General features: G+C 38.2%; 1 long non-coding RNA gene across 1 annotated transcript in view; it reads right to left on the reverse strand.

The window, feature by feature from the left end:
* Nucleotides 1-10,558: 10,558 nt before the first annotated feature.
* Nucleotides 10,559-19,649, reverse strand: part of LINC01249 (long intergenic non-protein coding RNA 1249) — a 28,005-nt gene continuing 18,914 nt past the window's right edge. The window contains exons 4-5 of the long non-coding RNA NR_034134.1: nucleotides 17,235-17,400; nucleotides 10,559-12,731 (exon numbers count right to left, since the gene is read on the reverse strand). This is a non-coding gene — a long non-coding RNA (long intergenic non-protein coding RNA 1249). The remainder of the gene's footprint in view (nucleotides 12,732-17,234; nucleotides 17,401-19,649) is intronic.

Below are 19,649 nucleotides of genomic sequence, written 5' to 3' on the forward strand. Positions count from 1 at the left end.
ATATATGACCTCAAGTGGTCATTCATTTGCTGCAAAGCCCTTTATCCCGTATCAATCTGTGGGTGAGAGGCAGAAGGGAAGTAGTGTGGAGGACTGGCTGCTACATGTCATGAACCATCTTAATAATTCTCGCAGTCTGACTTGAAGTACTTATGGCCATTTTCAATTCACAGATGAAGAAAACGAGGTCCAGAGAGGTAAAGAGCCTCGTCTAAGGTCCACACTGCTGGTAGTTAATGACATCCAAACAATATGTCAGATACACATCATTCCTGTAGACTTTTACTGCCTACAGGGATGGCCAAGCTGGATCCGCTGGCCCAGGCTAAGGTCTGCACTGAGTCTGCGTCAGGGCTTGGCACCCCGCTGCCATTCTGGCATGTTCATTTGTCCGTCTCACTCTTCCTGCTTCTCTTTTCCCTTTGCAAGACATGGTATTGTGCCAGCAAGGCTGAAGAAGTTCCACAAGGATGTTATAGATATGCTTTGATTGTTTTCTGGAGGTTAAGTATGTTCTCTTCTAAACTCCTTCCAGAAAGGGAGGGAGACTAAGTAGACTAAGGCCCTCAACCTCTTTGTTTTATTACAATTATCGTTTTGTAAATAGCGTTTTCTTTGGTGCTTTCACACTACAACAGCAGGGTTGAGCAGCTGCAACAGATGCCATAGGAACCACAAAGCCTGAAGTATTTACACCTGCCCTTTACAGAAAAAGTTTACCAAGCCCTGTACTAGGAAATCAAGGATGCCATTCTTCTTGTGTTATGAGGGCCCAGTGGAGGCCATTTCCAATTCATGCTGTTTCCTGCTTGTGTCATAAATGAAGTTAATTTATAAACTCGGCTTTAGGCTCTTTATTGATATAACAGAGCTCAAATGGGCACTGCTTAGGTGCTAGATTTAAAAAAACGAAGTGAGAGAGAGAGAGGCACAGAGAAAACCTTTATTGTTTATCATTTACCATCTATATAAGAATGGTGTGCAGGGCACACTGGTGCACAGATGAGGAAGTATATTATTTTTTCTGTGAGTCAGAAGAGATACGAATTGGAGGTTTGAATGTGGCTGATGAAGGAGGAGTAGAAGTTCTTCAGGGAAAGTAGAAGAGAGAGCAACCTCGGAAAGAGAAACAAGAGAGAGGAGTGGCCAAGAGAAACAGCAGTGAGTGTGGCAAGTGGGTCACTGGCTCAGGAGCATGGCAGCGAGGAGTACAGAAAACCACTGAGACATTTTAGGCAAGAAAGGGTATGATGTTTTGAGTGGGACTGAGATGATGACTCAGCAGTTTGACAGCACATGTAATGATCTCTATTTACCACGAATCCCTTTTCCAGGTGCCTAGCACAATCCTACACACATAGAATTTGTTTCATACGTACGCATGTGACCTGTCATTACTGAAAGTATTTAGAGTTAGTTCTATCTCCCAGCACTGAAAGCAGTGACTCAGACCCGCTGCTTTTGGGGCTCTGAGCCAATTCGCGACACCGTCCGTGAATCCACATGATGCGCAGAAGGAGGGGTAGATTATCCTGATGCTAAATTCCCTATTGTCCTTTAAACTGTAGGATAGAATTGTAGAAGTCATGTGGCTGAGCTACATTAGAAAGAACAAGCACAAACTATCTGTTAAGAGTAGTAAAAATATCTTTATTTGGAGAAATGCTCAATCTAATTTCTGAATTTCTTGGCTAGGGAGCAAAGACATTAAATAAACGTAAGATATTATTATGAATGCAATAAACTGAGTCATTACCTTTTTATGAGAGAAGAAGAGATACACTGAATAGTGTTCCTTCAGACGGAAAGCAAATTAAAAATAGAGTCTAATAATTATACTTAAACTCACCTTTGTTCTTGCGGCATAGACTATTTAGGGTCAGGGTCACTTAAAATATTCTGGCAGTCACACCACTGTTTCCTATTATTCTTTGATTCTAAGACATCCATATGATGTCTACTAACGGTCACAATTAAGAATGGCTACTAATGATGAAGCTCACTGCACACCTGTGCTTGCACTGGACATAGTCATATTCACCGTCTTTAATCCTGACAACCTCTCATTCAACTATGTTCAGTGCAGGGAACTGATTCAGGTTGTTCACTATTACCGGTGAGTACGGGTTTAAATATGCACATGGCTATTACATGTGCATAATGCCTGGAGTTCTGGAGTAAAAGACAGGGATAATCTTAGAGATGGGGAAGACACTCTGGTGGTAGAAACGACATGATTCGTTTAAATAAAACTCAAATTTTCGAAGCACAGTTGACTGCTGGTTTTAGTCTCTGTTTATTGGAATTTGGACGTCAGCGTGCCTTGGACTTGGATTGTTTGTTTTACCACCATGACCCCAGAGCCAAGAGAGCATATGCTCAATAAATATCGGTTGAATGAACAAACAAATAAGCAAATTATTAATTAATAATTAATGGAAGATTTTTATTTGTCAACATAATTGCCAATAATTTCTTCTAAAACATGGTTTTCTAGTACAATTAAAATGGCCACATTTGTTAAGTAATGCAACAAACAAAAATCCTGTTTTAACACACACCTTTTCTCCAAGGCAAGCAATATATAAATAATAACAAAAACCCAAACTCTAAATATCTTTAAAACTGTGTTATGCCAACAAACCCTTAAATGGCTTCTCATGTGCATTTTGTTAACTTTGTAACACCTGTATAATAAGGACATTGGATTTCCTGTATGCATCAGAGAGCCACAATATCCATTCGATGCCTCCAGAAATAAATATGTATCTACAGACCATTCCTTCAGCAAAATAACGATAAATCTAGCAGATTCTCTACATACACGTTCGTTTTCTAAAAGGAGAGACTTGAGGCAGAGAGTTATGACATGATTTTCTTTTCTTTTCTTTCTTTTTTTTTTTTTTGAGACAGAGTCTCGCTCTGTCTCCCAGCCTGGAGTGCAATGGCGCGATCTCGGCTCACTGCAAGCTCCGCCTCCCGGGTTCAAGCCATTCTCCTGCCTCAGCCTCCCGAGTAGCCGGGACTACAGGTGCCCGCCATCATGTCCGGCTAATTTTTTTGTATTTTTAGTAGAGATGGGGTTTCACCATGTTAGCCAGGATGGTCTCGATCTTCTGACCTCGTGATCTGCCCTCATCAGCCTCCCAAAGTGCTGGGATTACAGGCGTGAGCCACCGCGCCCAGCCGTGACATGGTTTTCAAAGCACCAAGTGTTCTTGATTTTATTCTGTTCACTGAATGTATATCTTTCAACAAATATTTTCTATACAATTTCTTAAGATAAAAGATCCTATCTAGTTATTGTAAAGCATCCTATTCAAATTTCCAGGGATCTAGACTTTGGGAATTGGTACCACATTATATTTTTGGGGATATCCACTAAAACAACTATGTACATTTTCATGGTATTTAATATCATGCTGCTATAAAGACACATGCACACATATGTTTATTGCGGCACTATTCACAATAGCAAAGACTTGGAACCAACCTAAATGTCCAACAACGATAGACTGGATTAAGAAAATGTGGCACATATACACCATGGAATACTATGCAGCCATAAAAAATGATGAGTTCATGTCCTTTGTAGGGACTTGGATGAAACTGGAAACCATCATTCTCAGCAAACTATCCCAAGGACAAAAAACCAAACACTGCATGTTCTCACTCATAGGTGGGAATTGAACAATGAGAACACATGGACACAGGAAGGGGAACATCACACACCGGGGACTGTTGTGGGGTGGGGGGAGGGGGGAGGGATAGCATTAGGAGATATACCTAATGCTAAATGACGAGTTAATGGGTGCAGCACACCAACATGGCACATGTATACACATGTAACTAACCTGCACATTGTGCACATGTACCCTAAAACTTAAAGTACAATAATAATAAAATTAAAAAAGTATATATCAGTGCTTACAATCCTGCCTACAGACAGTCACTACCCCACTCTCAGGAGGGCTTACGTTTGAAGTCTGTCTGCTTTGCCCCAAGGTTTTCACTATGCTCTTCTCATGAAATATTTAACACGAAATAGAAATAAATTATTGCTTGGGAATAATCCGCCAGGAGATGCGGGCCTAAGCAGGGTGGCGGGACCAAATGAGCCATAACATGAACAAACTGATACACATTCCTGGCCAGCCTGTCCAGCTGTGGGCAGTGACACACTCCCATTCTCCAGACTATGAAAGAAGACCTCTGACCCTTCTGGGCCCAGACCTCAGGTCTCCCCGAGCCAGAATTGTGACCTAGTGTAACACCCCCTTGGGGTTCTGCAGTTGCTGACATCTCAGGTTTTTGGGTGCCACTATGTCCCCTTTGTCCAGATGCCACTACCCAAAGCAGAAGATGCTTGAGGCATGCCTGGTCCAGCCACAACCTTGCACAGGGCTCACACCTATGCTGGTGGCTGGAGCTGCTTGCCCCATTGCAGCAGCCAGTGTGTCTGGCTGTGCACTATGGCCAGACCCCACGCTCACTTCCTTACACACCCCTCACCACTCTGCACCTGGCTCATCCAAGGTGAGAGTGGAATCTGGGCCAATAGCATGAGCCAAGAACAGCCTGCCAGGCAAGTCGGCAGAGCCAGCTCAGTGGTCACAAGTGAAACTTGGGGACAGGAGCCACCAGCCACTGAAGTTTCCACATGGTGAAGTGGCACGAAAAGAATCCTGAGCCACTGTGACCTGAGTGTTTGTCTCTCCCCCAGATTCACAGGTCAAAATGTAGTCACTGATGTGATGTTATTAGGAAGTACAGCCTTTGGGAGCTGATTAAATGGTTACAAGATTAAAGGGTCTCCTCCCCATAAATGGATCAGTGCCCTTCTAAAAGAGACCTGAGAGAGACCCTTCACTTCTTCCACCACATGAGTTCATAGAAAGAAATTGCCTCAATTATCCAGAAGGTGGCCTCTCACCAGACTCTGCATCGACTGGCTCCTTGACCTTGGACTTCCCAGCCCCCAGAATTATGAGAAGCAAATTTCTGTTGTGTATAAGGTGCCTCATTTATGACATTTTTTTACAGCAGCCAAAATACACTAAGAGGCAGGGTCACCGAAACCTTTGCAAAGTGGAGAGGTAGTTTTCAGAGAGAAATCCGCAGGGCTTTCCCCCCAGAAAGAGATGGGCACTGGGAAGACAAGCAAAACAGGCAAGTTTCCAGCAGGGAAAGGAAGCCACATTTTTCTTCAGTGTGTAGGCAGACCACTTGAATCTCCTTGGTTTTGGAGTCTTCCCAGTAGATTAAACATGGCTTTTGTGTATCACTGATATCACTGAATTGGATTCAGTGATCATTTAGAAAGCCTGTCGTGAGGCTGGATGAATATTATCAGGTTGACTGTATCTAGTATACCTCTAGAGAATAAAAACCCAACATTATGTACTAATTTCAAATCAAGCAAAATGCTTTTCTTGATTGTGATAACACAGTACAGAATTTTTGGTATCATAGGGTCAACTTATTAATGCCCATTATTGCAAATTGCTCTAGGCCCAGGAGATAAGATAGAACTAGACCTGTAAATTATGTATTGTCTCTAAAATATATCATTGAAATAAAAAAAAAAACCTGCAGGCAGATGATGTTTTTGGATGTGTCTAGTAGTTGATATGTGTAGCACCCCACAGGATGTTTTTTTCAGAAAGAATCACCAGTAAACCACATGAATCCAAAGTGGAATATGGCTCAGCTGTTTTCCACTTATATGAAGTTAGGGTAATGATTAACTGGATGGAGCCTGGCAGAGGGAAGGGGTTGGGGAGATTGCGAGGGGAGGAGATGGAAGGAAGTGAGAAGAGGGATGATGGTAAGTTCCGTAAATGTAGAATGTTCAAGTTAGAAGGTACCTTAGAGATTATTTAGTGTAAGATTCTTGTTTTATAGATGAGAAAACTGAGGACCAGAGTGGGGAGGTCTTTAAGATCTTATATAATACTTGAGATGCTTTACTTTTTAAAGTCCTAAAGGAAGGATGGATTATTTGGATTTCCAAAGACCTATTTCATAGGGAAAGAAGCCCAGTAGTGTACGAGAAGAAATCCCAGAAGAAGAAGAGTTAATAAGCTGAAAAAAATTATGCAAGACTTTGCTCTTGTTTGGTTGCAAAATTCAAATTCTATTAATTCTACCTTTACTGACTTGCATTTTATATACTACTTAGAAGAATTTATCTGGCTGGAGACCACAGCTTACTTGTTCTTGTGAGAAAAAGAGTATGCTCTTCAAAAACTGTAAAAGGAAGAATTAATGAAACATAAGAAAAAATTTCTTTAATGGACTTTATTTGTGTATGTACTTATACATCTATAAACACAAATAAAATCACAATAAATTTGTTTAGGTAAAGTAGCTCCTCTTGAAGCCTCCGTTTCAAGCTAGTACATTTTCTTTCCTGTTGATCTTGATGTTTACTTCCTAGGTTTCAGGTACACTACTTTGAGGAATCATGATGTTTTTTCACAAGTGTTAATTAAGTAAATTTCTAAATCATTTACATTTATGAATGTTATTCATTTCTTCATAGGTGGGAATGGAGGAAACATTTGAATAGATCGGTGTTTGAGCATCCTAGCTTAGTTGAGAATCTGTGCTCAGCTATGCAGACTTTAAACTCTTCTTCCTTAGCCATGCCCAAATCCCAAACCTTGGCAATGAATGTGCATTTTTCCCTTTATCTCATTTTATTCAGCCTCTGTGTATCACAGGATTTTTGTCCAAGGATTAAGTCTTTCCGTGTATCTTGTATGCCTCATTCAAAAATCTACAAAGATCTGAGGAGTTTCGTCCTTCCAAACATAATCATTTGCCTTACTCTGAGCTTGGTTCAGCCTTGTCTAAGAATGCACTTCCTCTGGTTTCTGGAAGAGTAAATAGAATGAAAGGAAGTACAATTTCCATCTAACATGATAGTAGCAGTCCCCTTGGCATTATGACAGCATATTGAAACGTATGAGTGACATTCTTTTACTAGAAAATCAATAATTCTTTGCATCGATTTCACTGAGCAATGCACAATGGAAAGAGATGGGGAATCAGACGTGGGTTCAAGTCCTTGCTCTAGAGTTCTTTGGCTATGTATTTTCAGACAAGCTGTGTCATTGCTCTGAGCTTTAGTGACTTCATCTACACACAGGGATTACGACGATACCCTCCTCACATGATCATCATGATAATCAAATATAAGGATTTCTTTTTGTGAACTAAATTATGCTAGCAAATAAGTTGTCATGGTAAATATCTCCAAAACTAAGGTTTTTTTTTGGATATGCAGATCAGGCTTTATTAGTTATAAAACACCAATGGAAATTTAGTAACTGAGATAACAGCCTAGTACTTTTTTTCTCTAGAATAATTTATGTTTCATGAGGTATTCTTTAAAAAAAAACTTCTCAAGATATTAGTATTAAATTAGACAAAATAATTAATTCTGAAATAATTACCCAAACAATTAGATTGATTGAAATATCTCTAGTGAGAATGAGTTAATTGAAAGCTAGGGGCTATTTGTAAGCAAAACTGTTCTCTCTCTCTCTCGCTCTTTCTCTCTCTCTCTCTTTCCTCTCTCTGTGTGTGTGTGTGTGTGTATAATTTGCATATATGTAGATGGATGGTTGGGTGGATGGATAGATGGATGGATGGATAGAAAGATTGATGGATAGATAGGTAGGTAGACAATGGTATGGACTCCTTTAGAAGAAAAGAATGGGAAGGTAGGAAAAGGGAACGGTGGGTTCAAAACAGAGCTTCTTGACCCTGGGGTTTGGGGTGGGGTGAAAACCAGTAGAATTCTAGGGAGTATACTCTAAGAAAGTTTCAAGAAAATTCTGACATCAATTTTGCATGATTTAGACTTTCACCTGTAAATGTCCTATCTTTGCAAAAACAATTAAGGAAAACTTAAACTAGTTACAAAGAGTCACTTTGGTCTTTCTCCTCCAAATAATCTCTCGATTGCCTCAAATTTAAGCTTTCTGAACCATGAGTCTGATGATGTCACTTTGGGATGCCAGTCCCTCTCTGCCTCCCGATGGCCAGAAAATGTAAAAAGTTATTCAACGTGGTGTTTGAGAGCCTCTAAGTAGGGTGCCAGTTTACAGACCTGTCCTTTAATCTTAATCATCATACCCCTTTTCCTTTTTGAATTTCCTGAGCATAGGGTATCTTCCTTTATAAAACCTCCTTAACACTATTTATTAACATTTAAGGCAACAGAAACCAAACCCAAATACACTTAAACAAAAAAAGGAAATATTTGTCTCCCGTAACTGGGAAACAGGAGGATGGCTGGCTTTAGACCCTGTTGGAATCTGAGCTCAAGAAACCTTTCTCTCTCCATCTCTTACCCCTGCCTCCTTGTTTGGCTTTGCTCCTTCTTCTCACTGCATTTGGCTTTCACCCGGCAGCCAGGTAATAATTCTTCAGGCACCATTGCCTTAAAATTCAGAAACTCAGGGGACAAAAGAAACTTCTGTCCACACCAGGGACCAAGGATCAAGCCTCAGGGAAGACACAGGCCCTCCGTGGGCTGAGAGGGGGCAGGAGAGACAGCAACAGTTCACGAGATCTCAAAATATGGAGTCCCTCAGTCATGGCTGTCCAGAGAACAGAAGCAAGAGGGTGTGTGTGTGTGTGTGTGTGTGTGTGTGTGTGCTGGCGCATACAGAGAGAGAAAGAGAGAGAGAGATTTTTAGGAATAGTCTGATGTGATTATGGAGACTGGGGGGTCTGCCAGCAGGTTGGAGACGCAGGAACAGCTGATGTTGCAGTTGAAGCTCAGAGACTGGCTCCTGGCAGATTTTCTCTTTGCTCAGCGGAGATTAGTCTTTTGTTCTACTCAGGCCCTCAACTGACTGGATGAGGCCCACCACATTAGGGAGAGAAATTTGCTTTACTCAAAATCCACAAATTTAAGTGTAAATCTCATCCAAAAACACTCTCAGAGAAACATCCAGAATAATGTTTGTTTGTTTGTTTTTTGACAGAGTCTCACTCTGTCACCCAGGCTGGAGTGCAGTGGTGCGATCTAAGCTCATGGCAAACTCCGTCTCCTGGTCTCAAGTGATTCTCATTCCTCACCCTCCCAAGTGGCTGAGATTACAGGCGCCCACCATCACACCCAGCTAATTTTTGTACTTTTAGTAGTGACCAGGTTTCAGCATGTTTTCTAAACTGGTCTCGAACTCCTGACCTCCACCCGCCTCGGCCTCCCAAAGTGCTGGGATTACAGGCGTGAGCCACCATGCAGAGCTCCAGAATAATGTTTAACCAAATATCTAGATACCTGGGCTCAGCTAAGTTGACATAATGTAACCAGCACCGGGAGCTTACTTTGCAAAGAAAATGCAGACTGTGTTACCAGATGACAGGGGGAATTGTTTTAGGTGTATATTATTCACTTATCCTCACTTTTATAGCACATATTTATTCTGACACACACACACGTAGACACATACACACACATACACGTTAGGTCTCTACTAAATTCAGAGCCTTTCCTTTGGGGGGATCTAGAGAGTCACATATCTTTTATTATTACCTTTCGCATCTTATAAAGTATACCACACAAAGTAGAGAACAATAGAAATAACTGTTTGATAAACTGGAGTAATTGAAGTGTAACTGAAACAACACAAATAAAGTCACCAGGAGACCTAAGTACGTGATGACTTCACCTTTGTTTTGCAGAAGAAAAAGGAAAACAGCAGAGCTGATGGCCAATTGGAGGGTCTTCAAGTGTCCCACTACCCTTTCCATTCCATGATGGAGAAATGAGGGTAAGAAGCACTGTTTACATTTTATGACTGTCTTGAACAGGGGCAATTACCTGACAAGTTTAAATGGTTTCTAAGTCCTTGTTTTTGTTCCCTAGTGTAGAAGATAGGTTTTGAGATGGCAATACATTCATTTATTTGTTCTCACTCTCCACTGGTTCCATCAAGGTCGATATCTTAGAATCAGGCTGAGGTCACAGAGAATGAGTAGTTTGTGACCTGCATACACCTTAGGATTTTTAAATTTGGCTCTTGAACTGCGTTTACCTTATTTTAAAAATATTGATGAGATCGAGGAGTGAGATTTCACATTAATATTTAGAATACACAACTTTTTGAAAGAAGAAGGAGAAGGAGGATGATGAAGAAGGAGGAGAAAAACCAAGAGGAAGAGGGAAAAGAGGAGGAGGAGAAGGTGCATGAGCATGTATGGTTTATGTATATGAATGTGTGTCTACATATGTGGGTTTGTGTGTGTATATACTCAGGCTCAGTTCAGATAAACCACTAGCAATTATGATAATCAAGACACAAATACAGCTTTACCCAAAAACATCCCTGTAGCATTCTGGTTTCCCAAGTAAGATTTCACCAGTTCCTGCACACATTTATTTATTCATATACTCATTCAACAAACTATCCCAGACATAAAAGACAGCGGTCTTGTTCGTGGAGAAGCTCACAGTGCTGAGGAAAACAGGGCAGCAATTCCCTAGGGATGGTGTATTAATTCAAGAATCCCTTAATAAAAAATAAATACCAACAACAACAGAAATACTGGACATTTATTGGTGTCTTACAATGTCTTAGACACTGAGATACATGCTTTGTATACTTTAATTCAAACAAATATTATATTCACTCATTTTAGAAATTTTGAACTTGAGACACAGAGGGCTTAAGTGATATTAACACTTGTCTGCCTGGCTCTCTGGCCAAAAACTGTCTATTGCTTATAACAACCACATGCCAGGTATTTTCATTCAATGCACAGGCATATACAAAAGTAACCATGTATATAGCCAGTGATAAACTTAAAACACATATGTGATTAGTACGCACCTAAATTCACATGGGTAGAAAGCTAGAAGTCTGAGATACGATGCCAATTCATTTAAATCCAAGACCAGTTCTCCATTTATAAACCTATAACCTGTAGAATTTCTGAAACATAAAATACACATGTCAAAACTGCTGCAATTTTACTTAAGCATTTTTTTTTTACTTTCCAAGAAGGATAATTTCTTTCTACCAGCAATCTAACTTCTGCTCACTGCCAAATGTATTTGATGAAGTTTCAAAGATATTTTATTTTATTGAGTTACACACACACACACACACACACACACACACACACACACACACACCATACTCTGGACAGAATTAGTCCACATTTCCTATAGGTGTCAGACTGCAAAACTGGAATCAAAATAGAAAATGACACTTTCTCCTGTTCTATTACAATCCTGATTATTTTTTTTTACATAAATAGAACCCCGGTTGGACTGCCTGTACATCAAAGGCAAAGCTGCATTAAGGAGTAGTCAGGTGCTGAGGCTGGCTGGCTTCTGACAGCTTTCAGCCGCTTTGATCAGACACCTATCAGCACAAGCAGGCACCTTTTTTTTTTTGCCTTTTGTCTGAGTCAGGAAATGAGAGAGATGATAGCTGCCTTTTGGTCCTAATCCTAACCACTCTGCTTGACAGGAGATGAAAGGAAGACCAATTACCACTGGTAATGGCTGACTACAGTGTGCATTCATTATCCAAGTTATCATTACAAATTACATGGTATTCTTCGTTACCTGAGGAAAGGAATATTTAAAGCAAGCAAACCCTCTACCAGCAATATTTGATGAGCCCCAAGAGAAGAGCCCTCTGTCAAAGTGTTTTCAACACAGCCTCACCCAGTAGACAAAATCAAATGAAGATCCCCAGGTCTCACTGGTACTTGTTTTCCCTGACGGTCTCCAGCTGAGAGCTGTGTGTGTGTGTGTGTGTGTGTGCGCGCGCCTTTGTGTGTGTGAAGCTATGAAATGAGATAACTCCATGCTTGATGAAGCTGTAGCTTAGCTTAGAGATCTCTTGTCTGCAGATGTTTTATCCAGGGCAGTTTACGTTGTTGCTTTTGGGCCGCAGTAGGTGAGTCAGCATGGGAAGGACACATCCCTTTAATAAATTGATTTCAAGGTATAGCTATGAAACCTATGCATTATTAGCCATATATTTGTTACACATACACATACGTATGTGTGTTGATCCAGAGGTCTACACTTGTGCAATGGCTGAAGTAACAACCATAACAGTATTGATATTTGCAATTACTGTCCCCATAACGGCATGCATGTATACATCTGTGCATGTGCACCTGCGTGTGATCACATGATGGTGGGGAGGGTGGACTTATATCAGGGACAGAAACTTAGGGACTATCTAACATAGATGTATTTTCATTTAATCTTCATACCAATATGGAGACATAGGTGTTATTACAAAATGTTAAAATGAGACAAACAATAATTGAGGAAGTTATTGTAAATTGTTCAGAGTTAACTGAAAAGAAAAAGTCATGACTTTTGGGTCCAGGTTTATCTGATATATCTTTGAATTATTTTATTGTGTCTGACTCTGCTCATTCTCATGAGTTTGTTTAGATATTTATACCAGTTTATGATCCGTTTTTAACCAAATACTCTTCTCAATCTGTCAGTCCTCCCCTGTCTGCAAGGCCCAGATCATCTGTCACCAGTTTGTGAAAGTTGACTTTATTATTCTGTTGAAAATAAATCTCTCTAACTTTCAAATATCCATAGCACAGCTCTCATTATGATAAGCAGTAGAGTTAGTTCTGTATATATTTGGTACGTCCATGAAGGTCTGAGCTCCTTGAAGATGTGGCCAAATCTTATTCATCTCTGTAAGTCCAACTTAGCACAGTGCCTGAAAAAGAGAACAGAGTGAATATTAAATAAATAAGTCAAACTGAATCCAATTATTAGAAGAATAGTCATTATATTCCTTGAAGGATTTCATAAGTGGCAATTGGTTCTTCTAAAATTATTTAATCTACTTTAGCCTTAATTTTAGAAAATTTATTTTCCATGAAGAAACCCTAATCTAAAAGAAAATTTAACTGAATAACTTTCCATAAACTAAAAAGAAACAGTATTTGTTGTTTTAAAATAGTGGTTCTGGGCTGGGTGCAGTGGCTCACACCTGTAATCCCAGGACTTCGGGAGGCCGAGTCGGACAGATCACCTGAGGTCAGGAGTTTGAGACCAGCCTGACCAACATGGTGAAACCCTGTCTCTACTAAAAATACAAAATTAACCAGGCATGGTGGTGGGCTCCTGTAATCTCAGCTACTCAGGAGGCTGAGGCAGGAGAATAATTTGGACCTGGGTGGTGGAGGTTGCAGTGAGCTGAGATTGCGCCGTTGCACTCTAGCCTGGGCGACAGTGGAAGACTCCATCTCAAAAAATAAAATAAAATAAAATAGTGATTCTGCTTTTGTTAATAGTGCAATTGTACAAGACAAAGATAATTTTAACCTTGGACAAAGAGTTAAAATCTTTAAGTGTACACGTGTGCACGTGCACACACACACAATACAACTATTTGAAGACATTGGATACATTTCAATAGCAGGCAAAGTTGGAGGAGTGTTAATATTGAAAGAATTGCACTGGGTGAGATTTGCTGGCGCAGGGAAGAGGGAATTTTGAATTTATGAAAATAAGAACATTCAAAACGTACCATCTCTCCTTGTAAATGGCAGTGGTTTAACCTGCAGTAGAGGCTGGAACTGGGAGGGCATTTTTGGGCTCCATCCTACGGACGCATGTCTCTCATGAACATAGATATAATTATTTCTAACAAAATATTTGCAAGTAGCATCCAATAATGTATAAAATGAATAATACACTATGATGAAGTAGTGTCTATTCAAGGAATGCAGAGTTAGTTTGCACATGAAAATCAAATGTAATTTATCACAATAATAGACTTTAAAAAAATCATTATTTTCTGCATAGATGCAGAAGAAGTTTTGAGAAATACAATATCCATTTCCTTAAAAAAAAAAAGTCACGGCAAACAAGGGAGAGAAAGGAACATCCTGAACCTAATAAAGGCATTTACAAAAAGCCTACAAGTAACAGCTAACATCACACTTAATAGTAAAAGACTGAATGTTTTTTCTCTAAGATAAAGAACAAGTAACAATGTACTGGAGGCTTGATAAACCGACGAAAATAATGAAAGGCATCTAGATTTTAAAAGAAGATGTGAAGTTGTCTTTATTCAAGATGACACGGTTATCTAGGTAGAAAATCCTCTAGGATCCACAGAAAATTACTAGAACACATAGATGGGGTAAGAAATGATCTTGTATGATATAAGATTGATATCCAATAATGTATTGTATGCATTTATGTATTATGTATTATGATGAGCAGCAACTGACTAGAAACTGAAATAATAAACAACATTTACAATAGCAACAAAGATATTAGGTTTGGTAAAACTTACTATAGTTTTACCAAACATGTTTAAGACCCATACACTGAAAAATATCAAATATTGGTGACAGAGATTGAAGGGGTCCCACAGAAATGGAGAAGTGTCTTTTTTTTAGTTAATGTGTCAGTTGATTGCATATTGATCAATAGGTTAAATGTGATTACAATGAAAATCATTGCAGCTTTTTATTTATAGAAATTAACGAGCTGATTCTATAACAAATAATGAAAATGCATAGGCTATTAACTAACCAAAACAATTTTGTAAAAGCAGACAAATTTGGAGACAAAAAGAAACACTACTTAAGACAATTAAGTATATGGTAATAAAGACAGTGTTATTAACAAAATGATAGATGACTAGATCAATGTGCAGAATATAGAGTCTAGAAGAAGATCAATATGTGCATATTGGTAAAAAACAACAGATTTCCCCAGAAGAGAAACAAATTTAGGATGTCCGCTTGCACTACTTCTGTTCAACATTGTACTGGAGGTTCTAGCCAGGGAAGCAAGGCAAGAAATGTAAAAAGAAAAAAAAAAAGACATCCAAGTGGAAATAGAGAAACAGTTCTGCCTTTATTGGCAGATGACATCATCATCTACATTAAAAATGCTATAAAATTTGACACAAAGCTACTAGAACTAATAAGTGTAGCACACTCACATAGCACAAGATGAACTAACACAAATCAATTATCTTTCTATAGACAGTCAAAAGCAATCTGAATTTTTTTTTTTTTTTTTTTTTGAGACGGAGTCTCGCTCTGTCGCCCAGGCTGGAGTGCAGTGGCACAATCTAGGCTCACTGCAAGCTCCGCCTCCCGGGTTCATGCCATTCTCCTGCCTCAGCCTCCCAAGTAGCTGGGACTACAGGCGCCCGCCACTACGCCCGGCTAATTTTTTGTATTTTTAGTAGAGACGGGGTTTCACCATGGTAGCCAGGATGGCCTCGATCTCCTGACCTCGTGATCCGCCCGCCTCTGCCTCCCAAAGTGCTGGGATTACAGGTGTGAGTCACCACGCCTGGCCAGCAATCTGAAACTTTAAAATGCCATATAGTATAGTATCAGAAGTAGACTATATTTAGGGATAAATCTTAGAAAAAAATCAAGATCTTATCCTGAAATCTATAAAATATTTTAAAAATAAAAACTGTAAAATCTTAGTGATGCTGTGTTTGGCTGAGATTTCTTAACTACAAGACAAAAAGAATAAATTATATTTTAAAATTCCTAAATTGACTTGATCAAAATTAAAAATAATTATTCTTCAAAACCTCTTTAAAACTGAAAATGCAAACTATAGGCTTTGAGGAAACTTGCAAAACAAAGAAATTGTGTCTCTTATATAAACAACAATCACAACTCAATAGTAACAAAGTCATAATAATCACAAAGTCATAAATTCAATAATCATAAAGTCATAAGCTTCTCAGAAACATGATCAAAAGATTGGAAAGACATATGGCCAAAGAATGAATGGATATGTCACCAAAGAATGTATATGCATGGCAAACAAATACTTGAAAAGATATTTAATATTATTACTCATTAAAGAAACACAAATTAAATTTCCCATGAAATACCACTACGCACATACTAGAATGGCTACAGTGTAAAATTGACTATGTAGGTAAAATGTCATAAAATTATTCACATCTTTGACTTACCAATTTCACTTCCAGGAAGTATTCCTATAGAAATAATGAAAAGTGATACTCATGGTATAACATAAAGAACTAGAGAATAGTCCACAATGCAACAGCCATTAACATGACTCCTGCTGTTATATTTGTACTAATGAATACCAAACAGCTATTAAAATTATGATCTCAAAAGATCATGCTAAGTGAAAAATATCAAAATGTAGAACTTCGTATGCCCTGTGATCTCAATTCATCAAGTCAATTAGAATAAAGCACATTTAGATAACAATAGTAAGATTAGAGGTGATTTTTCTTTTCTATATGTTTCTATATTTTCAAATTTCTACAATGTCAATACATTACGCTAATATCAATTGTATTACTCCTTTTTCACACTGCTATAAAGAGTGGCCAGAGACTGGGTAGCCTATAAAGAAAAGAGGTTTAATTGACTCACAGTTCTGCATGGCTGGTGAGGCCTCAGGAAACTTACAGTCATAGCAGAAGGAGAAGCAGGCATGTCTTACACGGCAGCAGGTGAGAGAGAGAGCGAGCAAGAGCAGGGAAAACTGCCTTATAAAAGCATCACATTTCATAAGGACTTATGCACTGTAAGAACAGCATGGAGTAATCTCCTCCATGATCCAATCACCTCCCACCAGGTCCCTCCCTTGACACACGGGGATTACAATTTGGATTACAATTGTTGATGCAATATGGGTGGGAACACAGCCAAACCACATCATCAATATTTGTTTATTTTAAAATAATATGTATTTTGGCATATTATATGTGTTTTAAAACATATTTATGTATATGTGCATTTATTTAGTACCACATATATTTAATAAATACATTAAAAAAGACAGCATTATTTGTGGTAGTCTTATTTTTTACAGGCAATTTTTATAGAGCACTTACTTTGCGTCAGTCTCTTTTTAACCACTTTATACACATTTCCTTTCTCAACCTGTTCAGGTATTTTATGGATACTGTATTCAACACTATTTACACTGGAGAAAACCAAAACCACAGCATCAGTAATTTATGCAAAGTCCCTCAGCACTTAAGAACCTGTATCGGATACCTCTGTAGTTTAGCAGTAGAGATTTCACTCTTCACCATGCTTGTATACTGTTCTCTGAAAAGGATTTAAAATAAGCCAAGATTTGTTTCTCTGTATTCCGTTCCTCATTTTTCTTGTCTTCTCTTTCTAAGCATTAGTCTACAGGTGAACTCTTAGTGTTTTAAACCTTAACCTGCCCACAGGCTTACCTTAGTCTTTTCTTTTGCAGCCTAAATATCTTTAGTTCTGTAAATTTTCTTCGTGAAATGTAATTTCTAGTCCCTCTGCCATTCAACTGATACACCTGGATGCAGCTGAGATCGATGCACTGCTGATGGCATTCTCGCTTAGCTAATTTCAAGTGTTCTAACTTCTCTGGTTGAGACAAAAAGAATTATAAAGTTCAGTTCATTAAAAAAATTAATAATGATCATTGAACAATTCTGTATTTCATGGAATTTGCCACATTTTACTTTTCCTTGACCATGAATTAGCCAAAGTAAAACTACGGTAGAAATATTGAGAGGAAGTAAATGAGGCATTTTCTGGTATAGTAAAATTTACATATGTAAATATAGCAATATAATTATTCATACAAACATATTTCAAAATGTTTTGTTGGTCACTCTATTTAGTTGAACACTGGGACTACTTCAGCAAATATTGCTAAACATACCAAACTTTCTCAAAATAGCTATGATTGTACATATTTTTAAAGGTGATTTTATCTAAACTTCGCCAGCTCTTTTGCACTTTGCTGTTTGGGAGGTTAATTAGGGAGTGATTTATTGATGGCATTCAAAACTCTTTATAGCTAGGTCATGGCCTGTAACGTCTGACTGCCTCTCCACCAGGATAACACGGCTTATTTGCCTTCGAGCTATAAAAAGTAAATACAGGCCCTCTCTCTGATTTTACTTCCTAGATTTGTGCTGACCTCATCTGGGTACTCCTTAAAATACTAATAAAATTTTGATAATAAAGAAAAAGAAACAAGGCTGGGAAACTCAAATACCATTGTAATTATCATCATAATTATAAATGTGAGCATTATATTAATTAATATAATGGTATATTTTCTTTTATTTGGGTCATACCTTAAACTATATTGTTTCACTTAATTTTGTTACTCCCTGCAATTGTCTGTTTCTTCGTGGATTCTAAGAAATAATATAGTGTTAAATAAGACAAGAAAAACACAACATAAGCACATATACTTTACTGTTGGTATTTAACAACATGTGTATGTGTGATCTAAGTATTAAAAGACATAGATAAATGAAATGACCACGTCAAGCTAGTGGGACTGTGTCATTACAGAATATTTAATATTGACAACAGTTCATATTTTTATAAATTAAAATTTTAGTACTATATGTAAACAGTGGCCTGTTTATTTGCTTAAAAATTACAAGAGTAATTTCTTGAGTTTACAAATATATAGTTTTTAAATACTAATTAAAATTTCTATAAAAGTTTGAAGATCTGCATTTCATTAATTTTCACACATTCTTTTTGAATAGGTCAAAAGAGATATTGGCTATTCTCACTGATAAAACCATACCTTGTCCAGAAATATTGGAGTATTTTTGTTTACAGATTTTTTGGAAGGGCATAGGGTAAAAACACCTAGTCTTCACTTTTGGAGTGTATCATGTATGCTATAGAAGCGACCTGCCACATGTCAGTGACTGCACCTGTTCCTTAGTACTAATTACACTGAATTTCCACAACCACCCATAAGATAGGCATTATTAACCAGTCATACACGCAAAGGACCTGGTGAGAGAAATACTCTTGGGACTAGAAATTGAACCAAACATTTATGTCTAAGCCCAGAATGCACACACTAGCATAATTACAGGAGGACTGCAGCAGGGCTGACATTTAGAGCATCTCCTGTTGGTTCTTTTCCTGTGGGTGCACCTGACTGGCTATAGGTTTCCCTTCTTTTTGCCACCATATGTATTTAACTCTGACACCCTCTGAAAGTCTCCCGCTGATTTCCCAGATATGACACAGCACTTGTTGTCAGCCAGTGGTTGGCTTTTATCCTGACAGTTTTGTCCATTTTATGACACTAATAACCATTCTTCCAATTTTCATTTGTAATCTACCCCACTCAGCCTCCCTCCTTCATGTTGTTCCCATTTCAATGGCCATTCTGCATTTAGTTCAGTAATAATTCAGGTTCCCTTCTATAATTATTTCCACCATTTCTAAACCTTAACGATGGCTACATTAGATTGAAGATACAATGTCGATTGTTTTTAGAAACAACACAATGTATATTTTTAAAAGACAAACAAGTTTGGTTTGCAAAATCACACTAATTATCTATTTCATCATCTTAACGCCAGCTAGCATTTGAGTTCCAGAATGAAAATGTGGGCTTTGATTTATAAATATTAATGCCATAATCAGATTGTGATACCTTTCAAGAATAATTCAGATTGACTATTACCATTTGGAAAGAATATGGAGTAGAATGTGTCAACTTTGTTTTAAGTTCTCTTGTTGTCAAATTGTCTCAGATGTGGGTGTGGATACCTTCAAAGAGCAGGCTTAAAAAGAAACTATCATCAGAGCAAACAGGCAACCTAAAGAATGGAAGAAAACTTTTG

Source organism: Homo sapiens, chromosome 2, assembly GCF_000001405.40.
Source record: "Homo sapiens chromosome 2, GRCh38.p14 Primary Assembly".
Taxonomy (NCBI): domain Eukaryota; kingdom Metazoa; phylum Chordata; class Mammalia; order Primates; family Hominidae; genus Homo; species Homo sapiens.